This window comes from Homo sapiens, chromosome 11 (assembly GCF_000001405.40).
Source record: "Homo sapiens chromosome 11, GRCh38.p14 Primary Assembly".
Lineage (NCBI taxonomy): Eukaryota > Metazoa > Chordata > Mammalia > Primates > Hominidae > Homo > Homo sapiens.
In genome coordinates, this window is record NC_000011.10 from 92,141,172 (window position 1) to 92,159,593 (window position 18,422).

The 18,422-nt window shown below is 41.1% G+C and overlaps 1 long non-coding RNA gene across 3 annotated transcripts, besides 1 other annotated feature; it reads left to right on the plus strand.

The window, feature by feature from the left end:
- Positions 1 to 5,237: 5,237 nt before the first annotated feature.
- LOC105369429 (uncharacterized) lies at positions 5,238 to 12,732 on the plus strand. Of its 3 annotated transcripts, none has more exons than XR_947892.1 (3): positions 5,238 to 5,722; positions 8,646 to 8,869; positions 12,400 to 12,732. It is a non-coding gene; the product is annotated as an uncharacterized LOC105369429 (long non-coding RNA). The 3 variants fall into 3 exon arrangements; XR_947893.1 differs by having other exon boundaries at positions 5,238 to 5,444; XR_947894.2 differs by lacking the exon at positions 5,238 to 5,722 and adding an exon at positions 8,077 to 8,152.
- Positions 17,026 to 17,739: an enhancer, noted in NCBI's record as "NANOG-H3K27ac hESC enhancer chr11:91891363-91892076 (GRCh37/hg19 assembly coordinates)". NCBI's record gives its function as "activates a minimal SCP1, AML or CMV promoter by ChIP-STARR-seq in primed H9 embryonic stem cells {active_cell/tissue: H9 hESC(primed)}" and the evidence as "EXISTENCE:reporter gene assay evidence [ECO:0000049][PMID:30033119]".

The window sequence follows — 18,422 nt, forward strand, 5'->3', positions numbered from 1 at the left end:
TGTCTTTCACCACTATTTGATTTTTTATTTCAATACTAAGATAAGCAACATCAGTGAAGAGGCCTGTGAGTCTGTCCACACAGGTGTTTACTCAGACACCTTTCTTCAAACAATTGCATTAAGTGAACTGCAAGTTGAGGAGCAGCCAAAATCAATTGCAGTAGCAGAGTCCATGTGGGTTGTTATCTGCACAAATATTAAAACACCTTCCATGAATTTAGAATTACTTCTAATCCAATAAAGAGTGGTGTCTGGAATTCATCAGCTGCTGGTCCAGAAGCTATCACTGTGGAAGCACCAGCGCTGACACAGACCTGGCTGTGGATAATTTGAGTTTAGGAAATCGGTTTATCTGAGCTGCGGGGTTGTTGCTGCCACTGTAGCCATTTCTTTCTTTCTTTTTTTTTTTTTTTTTTTTGAGACAGAGTTTTGCTCTTGTTGTCCAGGCTGGGTGCAGTGACATGATCCCGGCTCACCACAACCTCCGCTTCCCAGGTTCAAGCAATTCTCCTGCCTCAACCTCCCAGTAGCTGGGATTACAGGTGCCCGCCACCACACCTGGCTAATTTTTTTTTGTATTTTTAGTGGAGAGGGGGGTTTCACCATGTTGGCCAGGCTTGGTCTTAAACTCCTGACCTCAGGTGATCCACCTGCCTCAGCCTCCCAAAGAAACCACAGTTGTTAACAACTGTGATGATTAGGCTGACACATTCCTAGGAGCTCCTTTCTTATCTTTATTTACATATTGCCAACTCAGCATTTTAAAAACTTAAAAAGCATTATAACCAGACCATTGATGATAATTTTAGCTACACACATGGACATAACTGACTTATTACTATATTACTAATAATTAATATGGTATTAGTTTTTCCAAAGTGTATGTAAATATTTTCTTTTATGCTTACAAATCTGGGAAATGGGCTTGAATTATTATTATTGTTCCCAATTTACAGATGAGAAAATAAGAAAGCAGAGAAATTCAATGATTTTACCCAAGATTACACAGCTGAAAATTCAAGCATTCTTAGATAGTCCTGAGTGTTTTCACCTAAAAGATAGCTACTATCCCAAAAGGCCAGATGCTGAGGTTACATTAAATTAAGTCAAATCCTAGCTCTCCCATGTAAGAACTATGAGCCTTTGAATAAAGTACTAAACATGTTTAAACGTGTTAAGATTTTTAATCTGTAAACTAGATTTTTAATCTGTAAAACCTAAATAATATTACTTACATAATATTGTGAGAATTAAAAAAAATCATTCATGTAAATCACTTAGAACAGTACCAGGTATATTGCATGGATTTACTGAATTTTAAATGTCTTAACCTTTCATAGATAATAGACTAACAATATTTTAGCAATAGACTAAAATAACAATTTTGGAAATAGTGTTAAAAAGCACCAATATTCAAACCCTGACCTAATGCTTCCAACAACATAAGTTTGCGTAAGTGTCTAAATATAATATGTCATGTGGGACCAGGTTATTTTTGCCCTACCAACCCCACAGGATGCATGACAAAATATAAGTGGAAATACTTTGAAATTTGCAAAGTGCTTTGTAAATATCAGAAGTTGTTATGTTGGTGTAATACAAACTCTTCAGGCAACAAATAATACTAATGAACATAATATTGACTCACTGCACATATCCCATACGCAGTGTGCCCCATGGGTTTTTTCCCAAATGTATTCATGTATAATTGACAAATAAGAAATGTATAAACATAAGGTATACAACATAATATTTTGATAGATGTAAACATTGTAAAATGATTACCACAATCAAGCTAATTAGCATCTTCATCATCTCACATGGTTACCTTCGGAGGAGGTGAGAACACTCTAGTTCATAGCAAATTAAAGCTACACAGCATAATATTATTAAATAGTCACCATTCGGTACATTAAATCCCCAGAATTTATTCATCCTGCAAAACTGAAACTTTGTACCGTTGGATCATCATCTCCCCATTTCCCTTACCCTCTACCACCTGGCAACCACCATTCTACTCTCTTTGAGAAAGTATCATTCTATTATCTACTCTGCTTTTATGAGTTCATCTTCTTTAGATTGTGCATGTAAGTGATCATGAAGTACTGGTCTTGTCGATTTTGTTTATGTTTTGGAAAATACCAGCTCTTTGTTTTGTTGTTCTTTTCTATTGTTTTTCTTGCCCATTTCTCCACATATCTTTATCGTTTCCTCCTTCTGCTAGCTTTTGACTTAGTTTGTTCTTTTTTGTTTTAGTTCCTTGAGGTGTAAAGTTAGATTGTTTATTTGAAATCACTGTTCTTTTGTAATATATACAGTTATTGCCATAAATTTCCCCCTCTTATGTGCTTTTGCTGCATCCCATGAGTTTTGATATGTTGTGTTTCCATTTTCTAAAGATTTTATCTTATTTCTCTTTGATTTCTTCTTCGACCCATTGGTTGTTTAGGAGTGTATTGCTTACTTTCCACATATATGTGAGTTTTCCTATTCTCCTTAACATTGATTTCTAGTTTTATATTATTGTGGTTGGAAAATATACATGATATGATGTCAATCCTTGTAAATTTGTTTAAAATTGTTTTGTGGCCTAACATATGATCTCTCCTGTAAAATGCATGAGTATGCTTGAGAATGTGTATTCTTCTGCTGTCAGAGTGAACGTTCTGTAAATGACTGTCAGGTCTATTTGGTCCACAGATGATTCTTGGCTTTACAATGATTCAGCTTACAACTTTTTAATTTTATAATGGATTTATGGGGAAATAACCCGATCATAAGTCAAAGACCATCCATATGGTGTTGTCTAGTGTATGCTTTCCTTGCTGATTTCCTATCTGGATGATGTATACATTGTTGAAGTGGGGTCCCCTACTGTAATTGTATTGCTGTCTATTTCTCTATTTGTTTGTTAATATTTGCTTTATGTATTTAGTTGCCCCATCCTTGAGTGTATATATATTTATAATTGGTATATCCTCTTGATGAATTGACCCCTTTATCATTATAACTGCCTTCTTTTTCTCCTGTGACAGTTTTTGACTTAAAGTCTATATTGTCTGATGTAAATATAGCCACACATGCTCTCTTTTGGTTACCATTTATATGAAATATCCTTTACCATGCCTTCACTTTCAGCCTATGCATAATTTTAAAGCTAAAGTGAGTATTTTTGGACACAGCGTATAGTTGGATCTTGTTTTTATGTTTTATCCATTCGGCCACTCTTTATCTTTTGATTGGAGAATGTAATTCATTTATATATAAAGTGGTTATTGATAGCTAAGGGCTTGCTATTGCCATTTTGTTAATTGTTTTCTATTTTGTAGATTTTTATTCCTTTCTTTCTGTCTTCCTTTGTGATTTGATGATTTTCCTAGTAGTACACTTTGATACCTTTTTCTTTATCATTTGTGTATCTGCTAAAGGGATTTTTCTTTGTATTACCACAATGTTTACATAAAACATCTTACAACAGTTGATTTTAAGCTGATAATTTATTTTTGATTGCATATCCTCCCCACACTTTGTTATTGACGACACAATTTACATATTTTATATTGTATAGTCATTAACACATTATTATAGGAGAGTATTTTAATACCTTTGTCTTAAATTTTATGCTAGTGTTAAAATTGATTTATATGTCACCATTACAGTATTAAATGTTCTGAATTTGACTATTTTTTTTACCAGTGAATTTTATATCTTCACATGTTTTCATGTCCTGATTATTGTCCTTTCATTTGAACTTGAAGAACTCCCTTTAGAGTCTTGTAAGGCAGATCAGGAGATGAAGAACTTCCTTAGCTTTTGTGTGTCTGGGAAAGTCTTTATTTTGCCTTCATTTCTGAAAGACAGCTTTGCCAGGTTTAGTATTCTTGACTGGCAGGGTTTTTTCCTTCAGAACTTTGAATATATTATACTACTCTCCTGGCCTGCAAGGTCTCTGATAAGAAATCCATAGCTTTATGGAGGTTCCTTTATATGTCATGAGCAGGTTTTTTCTTGCCGTTTTGAAAATTCACTCTTGGCTTTTTACTTTTGATACTTTGATTATCATTTTTCTCAGGGTAATCTTTTTGGAGTTGATCCAGTTTAGGGACTTTTGAGATAAATGAAGCTGGATGGCTACATCTCTCCCAAGATGTAGGAGGCATTCAGCAGTTGTTTATCTAAATAGCCTTTCTGCCCTTTACTCTCTTTTCTTTTTTTTAAATAATCCTGTAATGCATACAGTGATTTTTTATGGTATTCTATAAGTCTTAGAGACTTTCTCTACTCTTTTTTATTCTTTTTCTTTATTCTCCTCTGATTGGATAATTTCAGATGACCTGCTTCTGAATTCTCAAATGTTTCCTTCTGCTTGATCAACTCTGCTATTGAAGTTCTCCACTGAAGTTTTCATTTCAAACAGCTCCAGAACTTTTTGGTTCCTTTTATGATTTTTATCTCTTTGTTCAACTTCCTGTTTTGCTCAGGTGTTGTTTTCCTGATTTCAATGAGCAGTCTGTGTTCTTTTATAACTCACCGAACTCCCTTAAAATAATTATTTCAAATTGTCAGGCAGTTTATAGATTTCTAATTTCGGGGGTTAAGTTACTGAACAATTACTGTGTTCTTTCAGTCATTGATTTTTCATGCTCCTTGAAGTCTCCTGCTGCAGTATTCACAGCTGAGGAAGCAGTCACCTCTTCCAGTTTTTTGTTTGTTTGTTTGTTTTGGTTTTTGTTTGACTGGCTTTGGGAGAAAAAGACTTTCATCAGTCAGACTGCCTGGGTATTCCTGTGGTCTTTCAGGATTTTTCTATGGATGTACCCTCTCCACTCCTTTTGTTACTTTTGGGAGGGGGAAGTCTTAGGATTGTGTGCTTTTTCTCAATTCCACAAAACTAGGCTGAGTGTGGAGAGTTTACCATTTCATTTCCCTAAGGTAGTATCTTGAAGTGGTCAAGGTTAAGCATCTTTTTTCAAGCCAGCATAGTTGGCGCTAGTTGTCTGTGTGTACACCTGCATGGTCTGCAGGGGCGTACTCACAATAGCTATGGTAAAAGGGGAGGGCACACAGAGCAGTGGGGCATGCATGGGTGTGTTGGTGGGAAAGATGCAGGTGATACATCCTACTAGATAAATGGGTAGGCCTCTTGTGAAGTCATAAGGCAGTTAGTAGAAACCATGGCCCTTTGTTGTATTCCATGCCTGGTTGCTGTGAGGCCCCACCCCATTTCCCTGCTCCTACCTGCCCCCAGACTATTCAGCCATGCTGATCCCCTCAGTATTCTGAGTGCAGAGAGAAAGAAGTGGGCCTTTGGGCAGGAAGCTGCATGGCTAGAGAAGCAGACACTCAACTACTCTCTCACTTTCCCCCGTGGATAAATTCATAAATTGAGAGGATCTGTATTGGCAATGAACTGTGCTACCTTCGGGAGGAGTGATGTGGGCAGGGTAAAACTGTTCTTATGCTCTTCAGTGTGCCTACTCACAAATTTGTTTCTTCCAATAGAATGCCAGGACATCTCTGCTTAACTCCTGGGCTCTTCTCCACGGATGGTTGTCAAAATCAGTGTTTCTGTCAGGATACAAAGGTTGAAAATTCTGATTCTGCCATCTTTCTGACATCCTCAAGGCCTTATATGCTGAATCATATGTCATTTTCACAAAGACCTTACGGGGCAAATATTAATATCCACATCCTATGGATGAATATAGTGAGGCTGAAAGCAGTAAGTAATTTGACCAAAGTCACTCACCTAGTAAGTGATGGATGGGATTTGACCCAAAATAAAATATAGGGAAATATAGCTGTTGAGCTTAAGCTCTTAAACACTAGAGTATAAAGATGAGCTAGTAAGCTGTGTAATGGCAAAGTAAGAACCAACAATAAAAGAATATTTTTTTTTTTGAGACGGAGTCTTGCTCTGTCACCCAGGCTGGAATGCAGTGGCCCCATCCTGGCTCACTGCAAGCTCTGCCTCCTGAGTTCATGCCATTCTCCTGCCTCAGCCTCCCGAGTAGCTGTGACTACAGGCGCCCGACACCACGCCCGGCTAATTTTTTGTATTTTTAGTAGAGATGGAGTTTCACCGTGTTAGCCAGGATGGTCTCGATCTCCTGACCTCGTGATCCGCCCACCCCGGCCTCCCAAAGTGCTGGGATTACAGGTGTGAGCCACCACGCCCAGCAAGAACATACTTTTATAAATGCAAATGCTTATGAGAAAATAATAAATTACCTCTAGCTTGTAGATTTTTCATCTTCATATATGGATACTGTCCATATATGAAGTATCCCAAGTGATGATGAATCCCAAGTGATCTCTAATCAAATATACTTAACTGTTTGTAACTGTTTCAGCTAGAATCCACCACTCAAAGAAAAAAAAAATAGAAAACCAGAAAGCATTTAAAGATAGTGACCCCCCACCCAAGGTATTCCAGGGAAGGAAATTGAAATGCCATTTCAATGGAAAAAAATTTGAATTTATAATCTTGAGTATTTCAATCTGTTATTTTGGAGCTTGACTGTATTACAAATTTATTTGCATCTTTTTAAAGGAAAATACTGTCAGAAATTTGATTGCATTTATTTTTACCTACTAAACCTATTTAGAAGAGGCCAATGTTGAAGGATATTTCTTTTCTTTAACTTAAAAACAGATCAAAATAATTTTTCATTCTTTTTCCCAAAAACAAAAAAAGTTTTCAATGCATTTTAATAAAACTCAAACTGTCTCTCTCTGTGCTTTCCCTCAAGTTATCCATTTTTAATTGTCTTCAGTTCTTGGCATTTTGATGCCATGGATAGGAATTGTGGCTCTTTCCAGTCTCCCCCACCCACTTCCTCGTATGTTCACTGAAATAGGCTTAGAAGCCATCTGCATCTCTGTGTGGAGGCACGCTAAATGTCAGTCTTCCCATTGGCTCCACACAGAAGAGGGCTCCAAAAGACCTGCTGGTCTCATGCCCAAACTGCTGTGACCCTTGCCTTGCTGGGTTTTTTTTTTTCTATTAATATTTTAACATGTGGGTTGCATGAGCTTGGGAAGCACTTTTGTCTCAGTAGGGAGTAGAAGACAAGCTCCAGTGCACAGATTTTTTTTTTTTTTCTCGGAGACAGACAGAGAACTGGTACTTAGGATCTGACTAAAGAGCACAGTCTCCACTACCTCTCTTTTTTGTAGGTTAGAGGGAGTAAGTGTTAATGTTAAACTTTAAGAAAGGCAAAGGAGAAAGAAGAGAAAAGTATAGGTTAGTTCAATATTGGATAGAAGAGAAGAATAGAAAAGAGGAAAAGGAGATGGTAAAGAAAAAGGCTAAAATAGAGAAAGCTGAGAAGGAAGGAAACATTAAGAGGAATGAAGAAAGAAAAAAATGTAAGTCCTATGCTTAGCACTGAGGTTGCAATGATAGGTAAATCTACAGTAGGAAGAAACTATTAAGAAGAGAAGATATGGAGGGAGAAAGGGAGAAATGAAGACTTCTCTAATGTCTACTGTGTACCAGCCATGTGGTAAAACTTTGATATCCACTATCTCATTCAGTCTTTACCACATTTGTATAAAGTGCATATAAAGAAAGTTAAGCTCAGAGTAATTTTGAAAGTTACATAAATTTCAAAGCTAATCACAGAATCCAATCTTCACTGGTCTTTACATTATAGAGTAAACCCTTTTTGAGCATCTTCTGAACAGGTGTCATATGCTGTGTCAGTTTTCCAGATGAGTGGTACAGTCTCTGCTTTTCAGAACCTCACAATAAATAAGAACAGACTTTTTTGACAACAAATGGAAGTCTAACCACAGGTCGATATGGCAGGGCTAAGAATCTGGAGAAGTCTATACAATACAAACCCATCTCTGGGTTTTAAGATCCAAATTAGAAGCTCAAGTTTATTCTAGCTTGGCTGGAATGATCCTAAACACTTTAGACTATTGGTGGAAACTCCTTGGATACAGAATTCAGTTTTACAACAGTTGGAGGAGTTTGCCTGAGGCAAATGCTTCCCACCTATAGTAGGATCAGTCTTGAAAAGATCTCAGTCTAGAATATGGTATGTGGAAGAACTGCAAGCACTAGACTTTAAGGATTGTCACGTGCCAGCAGAGAAACAAGTTCAGAATGACTGAATCTAAGGGAATAGGGAAGAATCAGAAGGTAAGCAAGGGTTATAAATTGGGCAAGGGTTTTAGATTTTATTTTCAGGGTGAAAAGAAGCCACAGAGGGTTTTAAGCAAAGGAATTAGTGTAATCTTATTATGTATTACAAGGATGATTTAGGGAGGGGATGAGAAGAGTAAGTGGACAACAAAGGAAGTGAGAGACCAGTTTGTAGATGAATTCAGTCATCTGGGTAATTAAAGATGATGACAAGAACTGGGTAGTAGCAGTGGAGATGAAGAGAAGAGAGTCAGATTCGAAATACATTGCAGCGACATGGTCGATGGGATTATCTGATCTATTCTATGTGGTAGGGAGGGCAGAATAGAGAAATGAGAAATGCCTCCTTTTTCCAGTTTGGGCAGCATATTGGAAAGTGATATATTTACGAAGACCTGGAAAACTGAGTAAAAAAGAATTTTTCATTGTGTTTGTTAAGTGGTATTGCCATACAGAAACAGCAGTTCTCTCTTGGGCTTTTTCGTTTTAGACGCATATTAAATACACAAGTGAAGCAGTCTGTAGATATACAGTCAAGTTTTAATGGAAGAATCAGGGGAAGAGGCACAAATTGGGCAGTCTCCAGCATATCCAAGAAACACAGCATAGAAGGAGAAAGGAAGAGACCAAGATCTAAGCCATTATGTATTCCAACATCTAATAGGCCAACCAAGAAGGAACCAGCTCAAAGGTGAAGAAGGAATGACCAATGAGGTAACAAGAAAACTGTGGGAGGGTGGTATCAAGAAAGACAAGAAAAGAGAGCATTTCCCTAAGAAGGGGATGGTCAGATTATCTAGATACTGCTTAGAAGTCCTGTACAATGAGAACAAGAAGTAGCCATTGAATTCAGCCAGATAGAGGTCGCTGGTGATCTTGAGAAGAGGAGTTTCAGTCGAGTGTTTAGTGTGGAAAACTGTATTGAGTGGTTTGAGCAAGGAAGGAGAAAAGAATTAGATGCAGGAAGACTGCAAAACTGTTGTGAAAGGGAGCAGAAAAATGGGGCAGTTCTTTGAGATGAACCAGGAATCAAGAGAGAATGCTTTTAGGTTAGGGTTTTCTGAGATGAGAATAAATACACAATGGAATTGGGGAACAGAATGGGACAAGAAGCAGCTCAGCAAAGGTGAGATCCCTGGCAAAATCCTGCTAAGAGTAGCTAGCTCCAGACTGAAGCCTTAAGGAAAGTTACTACCAGATTTCCCTTACCTTAAACAGTGAGATCTGGACTCTCACAATCCTGCCTCCTCCCCACTTAGGAAATAAATTCCAGGCACTTCTGGACTTCTGAGAGGACATGCGAAATGAAGTATAGTAAAAGGAAACATGGGGTATCTGAGTCAAACACCATCTAAGAGATTGATCTACTTTCCTGAAAGAGAAATTTTAGTAGAGACTTGACATATTTCTTTCGGGACACTTGTTTTTATTTTGCAGCACAGATTTTCCTTCAGAAGATCTTTACTGAGCACCTACTATGTGCTTGTACTGAATCTGTGCTGCTGTGTTATGTGGTTTGCAGCAAGGGATGGAATTTGGGCCTTTCTACACTAAGTTGTATGGTTCCTTTAATGGGTGTGAGTGTATATACAATCCAAAGATGAAAATGTGCAAATAATGAAGGTCTTTAATCATGCCTTCAATATCCATTTAACAATTACCTATTTCAAACTCAAAGCCTGAGTATTTACCTGAAGTGCAGTTTATAAAAACAAGTGGTTTTCATCCTGCCTCTGACCAGAAATAAAAATTTTACAATTCAAATTCTGATGACAATTTAGTGTTAACATGAGTGAGATAACAGATTCCTCCTCTCCCACTGTTCTGTTAATGGAAGAAGAATGTAGCTAATACCCACAAGTTGCATGAAAAAGACAAGAGTGTCATGTAATCTGATTTCATATACCCCCTGGCTCTAAGTTTTGTGGTTGACAACAAAAAAAAGCTTCTTCAATCTCCAGTGTAGTTCATCCTGTTAGTGTTGAGACGACAGAAATAAGTCACAGAGACACATCACCTGCTTTTGTAAAGCTATGCAAAATCCAAAGATAATACAGAAGATGCATGTAGTCCTAGCAAACATCGACCTGAAATGATTTGAATTTATCCCCATTTCTCTTCTATCCTGAAGGAATTGCTCATTAAAAATTTACTCTGGGCCGGGCACGGTGGCTCATGCCTGTAATCCCAGCACTTTGGGAGGCCGAGGCGGGTGGATCACTTTGAGGTCAGGAGTTTGAGACCAGCCTGGCCAACATGATAAAACCCCGTGCCTACTAAAAATATGAAAATTAGCTGGGCATGGTGGCGCAGGCCTGTAGTCCCAGCTATTCGCGAAGCTGAGGCAGGAGAATCGCTTGAACCCAGGAGGCAGAGGTGGTTGCAGTGAGCCAAGGTTGTGCTGCTGCACTCCAGCCTGGGCGACAGAGTGTGACCCTGTTTCAAATAAAAAAAAAAAAAGAAAGAAAAACAAATTTACTCTGAACAAGATTGTGACACAATTTCTTTCTTTTCTTTTATTTCTTTTTTCTTTTCTTTCTTTCTTTCTCTCTCTCTTTCTTTCTTCTTTAGAGACAGGGTCTTGCCATGTTGCCTAGGCTGGTCTCAAACTCCTGAGTTCAAGTAATCCTACTTTCTCAGCCTCCTGAGTAGCTGGAGCTATAGGCACATGCCATTGCACCCGACTTAAAGATTTTTTATTCTTTATTTTTGGTACCTCCTTCCTTCTTCATAGCCAGGACTACTGATTTGTTCAAAATCTCATTTCCTTGAACAAGCTGTTCAATAGAACAGTGGTAGTAAGCCCCAAAACAGTCCTAGCCTGACTTGAAACCCTTCTCTATAAATATTCCTCTTTTCTAGGGCACTTCAGAGTAAGTATGTTTCCTGAGCATGTGCAGATCTTCTCCCTTGGTCAGTTTCTAAAGACAGGCTCAAGACAACCATATGTGGCTGAGTGTTTCATTGCAAGGAGGTGTGTGGACATCAGTAGGTGAAAGAATGCGTCAATTTCCTAGGTAGTAGAAAAATACGACCCGGCATTGGTCCAAGCTGGGACCTGAAGACTTTATCGCTCAAGCACCATGGAGCTCCCGTAATAACTACTGTGGTGTGCCACCAGATGGCCTCACTTCAGGACTGCAGCACCGATGGCAGGCTGCTCAATGTGTTGGCAACTGCATTAGTTTCCCAGGACTACCCTAACGAAATACCACATATTGAGTGACTTAAATAACAAAAATGTGTTGTCTCACAGCTCTGGAGGATAGAAGTTCAAAATCAGGGTGTCAGCAGGGTTGGCTCCTTCTGAGGGATGGGAGGGCCGAAAATCTGTCACATGCTTTTCTCCTTGGCTTGTAGGTGGCATTCTCCCTTGTCTTCACATCATCCTCCCTCTACAGATGTATGTCTCTGTGTCCATTCTCCCCTTTTTTATTGGATTAGGGGACATCCTAATGACATCTTTATTTGATCACCTGCAAAAGCCTTATTTCCAAGTAAAGTCACATTCACAAGTTTCAGGGGTTAGGATTTCAATATCTTTTTAGGGAACACAATGTAGCCCACAATGGCAACTAAGAGCTCACAGATAAATCTCCTCCCAAGCTTGCCCTCAGCTGAAGAGAGCCACCTCTCCCAAGTCATTCCTTTTCCCTGTGTTAACCCACATCCTAAAACTGGTCACTGAGTGTGATATCAAGGCCTGAACACTCTACCCTGGTTCGGGACAATTCTGCAGGGATATCCCAGCTCCAAAATTTCATATAAGCTGGTACAGACATCTGTCTGGTCCTTCTTCTTTCACCTTCCCCATAGACATTACTGGAAAACATACCCCAATAAAGTTTCTGCAGGCAACTATCCAAATCAGAATCTGCTTCCTGAGTCACACCACTTGTAGTAGCACTTCTCTGAGCTTGCTCTGTGCCAGATACTGAAGACCAAAAACAACAAGACATATCCTAACCTCTGAAGCCTTCCACAATATCAGAAGACATTATTAAGTACAGAAAGAAAGGTTTTCGTCACACATAATCTGCCTTTGAAACCTTTATTTCCTATTGTATGACTTGTTTATCTTACTCCCTCCTCTCCCAAATCTTAACCAATAATCATATCCTCCATCTTCTTTTTGCAAAATCTGCTTCTTGAATGAAAAAATAAAGAGGACAAACTATTGTCAATTAAGCATAACTATGAGCTAGACATTTTGTATATGTGATCTCATTTAATTCTCTCAACAGCTCTATTGCCTTCACATTACAAATGGAGAAACGGAGATTCTATGAGGATCAATAAGGACTCAGCTCATCTGGCTTATAACAGACCCAGCAAGGATGAAAACCCCAGGGCTTTTGATTCCAGAGCGTGGGCTCTTTCTATCACACCAGTGGTTCCCAGACACATATGCCACAGGCCAATCAATTAAAAGCAAACAAAAAATTGGCAAACAGAAGTAGAGCTAACAACTTTGGATTTTGCCAGGAATATAAAAAAGTAAAAGCTTCAGTCTTCTACCACCACCATTTCATAATAAAATGAACACTTCAACCCAGAAAACTTTGCAAATATCAAATCTCAAAACAGAAGATTAGCACTTACAATTGAATTAATTCAGCTTCGTGAAAAATATACCACATTGCACTTCATTTTACTCATTTTGCAACAGACTTGTGAAATTTTTTTCAAGAACTGGTAGAGCTCTGGAAAGGAAAAAAAAAAAAAAATTGGACATCCCTAAAAGGTCTGGGTTTTATTCACACTAAAGTGTAAATGACCTCTTCAGGTTAGTTAGCAAAATATGTTGAATATCTAAGAAGATGTATCTAAGTCAGTGTTGATATGATCCAACATAACTAAAGACTACATGGGAATGCCATTATACTTTTCAAGAAACAAAGCAAAAGTTAAAAAAAAAATCGTATTTTTAACTTGGCTATTTTTTCCCCAGATTTCAGATCTCTCTTAGAAGTCAAAAGCTGGCAAGGGTCCAATTTCCAATGAGAAGGTTTTTCTTTGGCCATATCCATTCTCATTCAAATTCCCTATAAAAGTTACAGTCAACAATTTTTATTTTACCATCAGTTACCTTTGGTAGGGAAATAGTTAGAATTCACATGCTAATAACTGAAATCTTGTAAAATGCCAGCTCCGTGTTTGAAATGTACACATTTTAAAATGCTTGCTGCACATACTGTATAATTATTTGGGAGAGGTATAATGAGTTAATATATTCAGTAGTTGCAATGAATATGTGTTGAGCAGAAACCCTGACTTATATATTCAAGCATCCTTTATCCAGAAGGCTCCCAACGCACCGCATAGATGATCTAAAGATCAGCCACCCACCAGTGAAAGGCAGATGCCTTAGGTGAGGAAACGCTTGTGCCAGAGGTTTCAGTAGCACAGAGAGCATACTGCAGCATTACACAGGGTGAGGCCCTAATTCCCCAAGTATTACAGATTTAGAACTGATGTGAGGTATTTTGTTTGAAGAACAGAAGTATTTTAAGAAGGCTGAACACAATTTTGAAGTGGCAATCATTCCTTACAAGCAGCTTGTCACTGTCAAAAGAATGAAGTCTCGCAAGTTCATCAGAGCTAAGCTTGAATTCCAATTCCATTATTTATCCAGCTGGGTGACCCTGAACACAGCCCACTTCCTCCTTGTAAATGTGGAGGTGATAATGGTACCTCCTACAAGCTTGCTAAAAAATTGAATACGAGATTGCACTCAAGAAATGATAGTTTTTGTTATTATTTTATCTCTAAAATGGTAATATCTATGGATCTCAAACTGCTGTGAGAGTAATTTAAAAAAAAACTATAAAGAACATTTAGTGAGGAATTACGATGTGTCAGAGAATGTGCCTAGTGCTTTATATGTATTACCTCATTATGTCCTCACAATAATCATATTATTTTACAGATGTAGAAACTGAGTCACTTGAAGAGAAGGTAATTTGTCCAAGTTTGTCACACAGTTAACAAGTGGCAATATCCAAATTTGTAGTGTCTGAGTATATGGTTGGTACCAAACAAATGGTATTTAGTTGATCTCTTTAGAGAATGACCTGGAATGCCCAAGCCATTTCCCTACCTCCATTTATTTTTCCGAATGTACTCAAAGAAAAAGCTCACACTGTACCCCTTTAATCTACCTTCTCCCAGAAAACTCCTTCAATTCTATTCAATGCACAAAGCCATTAGGAAGCTCCTGAAGAAGGCAAAGACTCTTCTAGGTACTGCAAGCATACAAATGTTTTCAGGATGCAGGTCCGGTCCTGTCTTACAACAAGGCCACAATCACAACTAATTATCAAACAGATTAGTCTGTGATCAGCCTTATAAAAAAAGGATTAGCAAATTTTATGAACTCAAAGGAAAAAGTCACTAATTGCACTTAGGAGGAGAGAGCAATCTGCAAAGACGAAGGGCATCTGAGTGAGCCTCACAGTACTCTTTCTAGGCAATCTTTGATGGGGTGTCATTCCTTGGGTTAAGTAGCCCTCTTCTAAAATATAAACACTTCTTCCCAGAAGAGGAAGGCATTGCAGTTTTTACACAGTAATTTTTTAAGATCATTGTCAGCTGTGGCTGGCTGACCTTATAATGTTAGCATGCTGGGCCTTCAGAGAAAAGGAGCAGTAGGACAGGAAGGAAGCAGAAAGCAGTACACAGGTGAGATGCTCCGAGGACATGCTTCAGCTACCTCCCCATTGTGCAGGACTGTTGACCAGCTGTGTCATTGGCAGGAGCACACTGCCCTTCCCGAAAGGGATGGGCAGAAATATCAGAGAGAGGATTATAGTTACACACATGACAGGACATTTCCACACAGCACGTAAATGAACAGTTCTAGAGTCAGTTTCCAGTACTTTGACAGAGCCAGAGGCTAGGACAACGGATAGCTTGGGGGCTTCTCAGCCCTCTTCGTCTTATTCCATAAAGGTGGCTCTCTAAGAAATTCACTTTAATTCCAGAGGGTGACCAACATTTCCAGAGGAAGGAAGATAGCTTTTTATTTGAAAATCTATCTGAAGTTGTAATGATGTTGTAGAAAATATGAGTTTGGAAACCAAACAGATCTGAGAGTCTCTTACCTACAGCAAGACTACAAATTCCTAGCTGTCTAACCTCAAGCAAGTTAACCTTCCAATTTAATAAGGTTGATGTAAAATAACATGCCACACTAGAATATACATTGCATAACAGCAGGGATACTTTTTAATTTTAGCTGCTATGTCCCCAGTGCCTAGAACATTGCTTAGCATTTATTGAATGAATTTGTGAATAAGTGAGTAAATAATAAATCAACAATTATTTTCATTCAAAGCCTATTATGTGCTAGGTATTGTTCTAATAACTAGATTTCTATGAATACTAAATGAGATGCTGTCTACAAGCACTTGGTACACTAACTGCCTGACAGGTTCTTCCTGCCCACTGCACATATAAAAATTATCTTACCAAGATCATGTCATTGCAGTAAAGAAAGAGTTGACCCCCTCGCCCTCCCTCTCCCTCTCCCCACGGTCTCCCTCTCCCTCTCTTTCCACGGCTCCCTCTCCCTCTCCCCACGGTCTCCCTCTCTCTCTCTTTCCACAGTCTCCTTCTGATGCCGAGCCGAAGCTGGACTGTACTGCTGCCATCTCGGCTCACTGCAACCTCCCTGCCTGATTCTCCTGCCTCAGCCTGCCGAGTGCCTGCGATTGCAGGCGCACTGGTTTTCGTATTTTTTTGGTGGAGACGGGGTTTCGCTGTGTTGGCCGGGCTGGTCTCCAGCTCCTAACCGCGAGTGATCCGCCAGCCTCGGCCTCCCGAGGTGCCGGGATTGCAGACGGAGTCTGGTTCACTCAGTGCTCAATGGTGCCCAGGCTGGAGTGCAGTGGCGTGATCTCGGCTTGCCACAACCTCCACCTCCCAGCCGCCTGCCTTGGCCTCCCAAAGTGCTGAGATTGCAGCCTCTGCCCGACCGCCACCCCGTCTGGGAAGTGAGGAGCATCTCTGCCTGGCCGCCCATCATCTGGGAGTTGAGGAGCCCCTCTGCCTGGCTGCCCAGTCTGGAAAGTGAGGAGCGTCTCTGCCCTGCCGCCATCCCATCTAGGAAGTGAGGAGCGCCTCTTCCCGGCCACCATCCCATCTGGGAAGTGAGGAGCGTCTCTGCCCCGCCGCCCATCGTCTGAGATGTGGGGAGCGTCTCTGCCCCGCCGCCCCGTCTGGGATGTGAGGAGCACCTCTGCCCGGCCCGGCAACCCCGTCTGGGAGGTGAGGAGCGTCTCTGCCCGGCCGCCCCGTCTGAGAAGTGAGGAGCCCCTCCGCCCGTCAACCACCCCGTCTGGGAAGTGAGGAGCGTCTCCGCCCGGCAGCCGCCCCGTCCGGGAGGGAGGTGGGGGGGTCAGCCCCCCGCCCGGCCAGCCGCCCCGTCCGGGAGGTGAGGGGCGCCTCTGCCCAGCCGCCCCTACTGGGAAGTGAGGAGCCCCTCTGCCCGGCCAGCCGCCCCATACGGGAGGTGAGGGGCGCCTCTGCCCGGCCGCCCCTACTGGGAAGTGAGGAGCCCCTCTACCCGGCCAGCCATCCCGTCCGGGAGGGAGGTGGGGGGGTCAGCCCCCCGCCCGGCCAGCCGCCCCGTCCGGGAAGGAGGTGGGGGGGTCAGCCCCCTGCCCGGCCAGCCGCCCGGCCAGCCGCCCCGTCAGGGAGTTGAGGGGCGCCTCTGCCCGGCCGCCCCTACTGGGAAGTGAGGAGCCCCTCTGCCCAGCCAGCCGCCCCGTCCGGGAGGGAGGTGGGGGGGTCAGCCCCCCGCCCGGCCAGCCGCCCCATCTGGGAGGTAAGGGGCGACTCTGCCCAGCCGCCCCTACTGGGAAGTGAGGAGCCCCTCTGCCCGGCCAGCCGCCCCGTCCGGGAGCGAGGTGGGGCGTCAGTCCCCCGCCCGGCCAGCCGCCCCATCCAGGAGGGAGGTGGGGGGGTCAGCCCCCCGCCCGGCCAGCCGCCCCGTCTGGGAGGTGAGGGGCACCTCTGCCCGGCCGCCCCTACTGGGAAGTGAGGAGCCCCTCTGCCCAGCCACCACCCCGTCTGGGAGGTTTACCCAACAGCTCATTGAGAACGGGCCATGATGACAATGGCGGTTTTGTGGAATAGAAAGGGGGGAAAGGTGGGGAAAAGATTCAGAAATCGGATGGTTGCCTGTCTGTGTAGAAAGAAGTAGACATGGGAGTCTTTTCATTTTGTTCTGTACTAAGAAAAATTCTTCTGCCGTGGGATCCTGTGGATCTGTGACCTTACCCCCAACCCTGTGCTCTCTGAAACATGTGCTGTGTCCACTCAGGGTTAAATGGATTAAGGGCGGTGCAAGATGTGCTTTGTTAAACAGATGCTTGAAGGTAGCATGCTCCTTAAGAGTCATCACCACTCCCTAATCTCATGTACCCAGGGACACAAACACTGCGGAAGGCCGCAGGGTCCTCTGCCTAGGAAAACCAGAGACCTTTGTTCACTTATCTGCTGACCCTCCCTCCATTATTGTCCTATGACCCTGCCAAATCCCCCTCTGCGAGAAACACCCAAGAATGATCAATAAAAAAAAAAAAAAAAAGGCCAAAAAAAAAAAAAGAATAAAATCCCTCTGGGAATTCCTAGTTAAAAAAAAAAAAAAAAAAAAAAAAAAAAACAAGCCTGTACTTTTCAAAAATGTCAGTGTCATAAAAGATAAAGAAAGGCTCAGCAACGATTCCAGATGAAAAAGACCAAAGGGACAGAACCACTAAATGCATTGTGTGATTATGGATTGAGTCATCAGTTAAGGAAAATTTTGCCATAAAAGGCATTATTGGGACAACTGACAAAATTTGAATTTGTTTCTTGATTTTTGTAATCATCTCATGGTTATGTTCAAGCATGTACTTACGTTCATGTATTTGAGAGAAAAGGAACGTGATATTTACAGATTACTGTCAACTGGTTCAGAGAGAGAGAAAGGGAGAATGATAAAGGTAACATGCTAAAACATTAACAATGGTGAATCTGGGTAAAATGTATGTAGGAGTTCTTTGTACTTTTTTCTGCAGATTTTCTCTAAGTTTGAAATTATATCAAAATAAAAGGTTAAAAAAATAATAAAAAAAAAAAAAAAGAAAGAGTTGAATTAGGCTGAGCCCTGTGGCTCACACCTGTAATCCTAGCACTTTGGGAGGCCAAGATGGGAGGGTCACTTGAGGCCAGGAGTTTGAGACCAGCCTGGCCATCATGACAAAGCCCTATCTCTACTAAA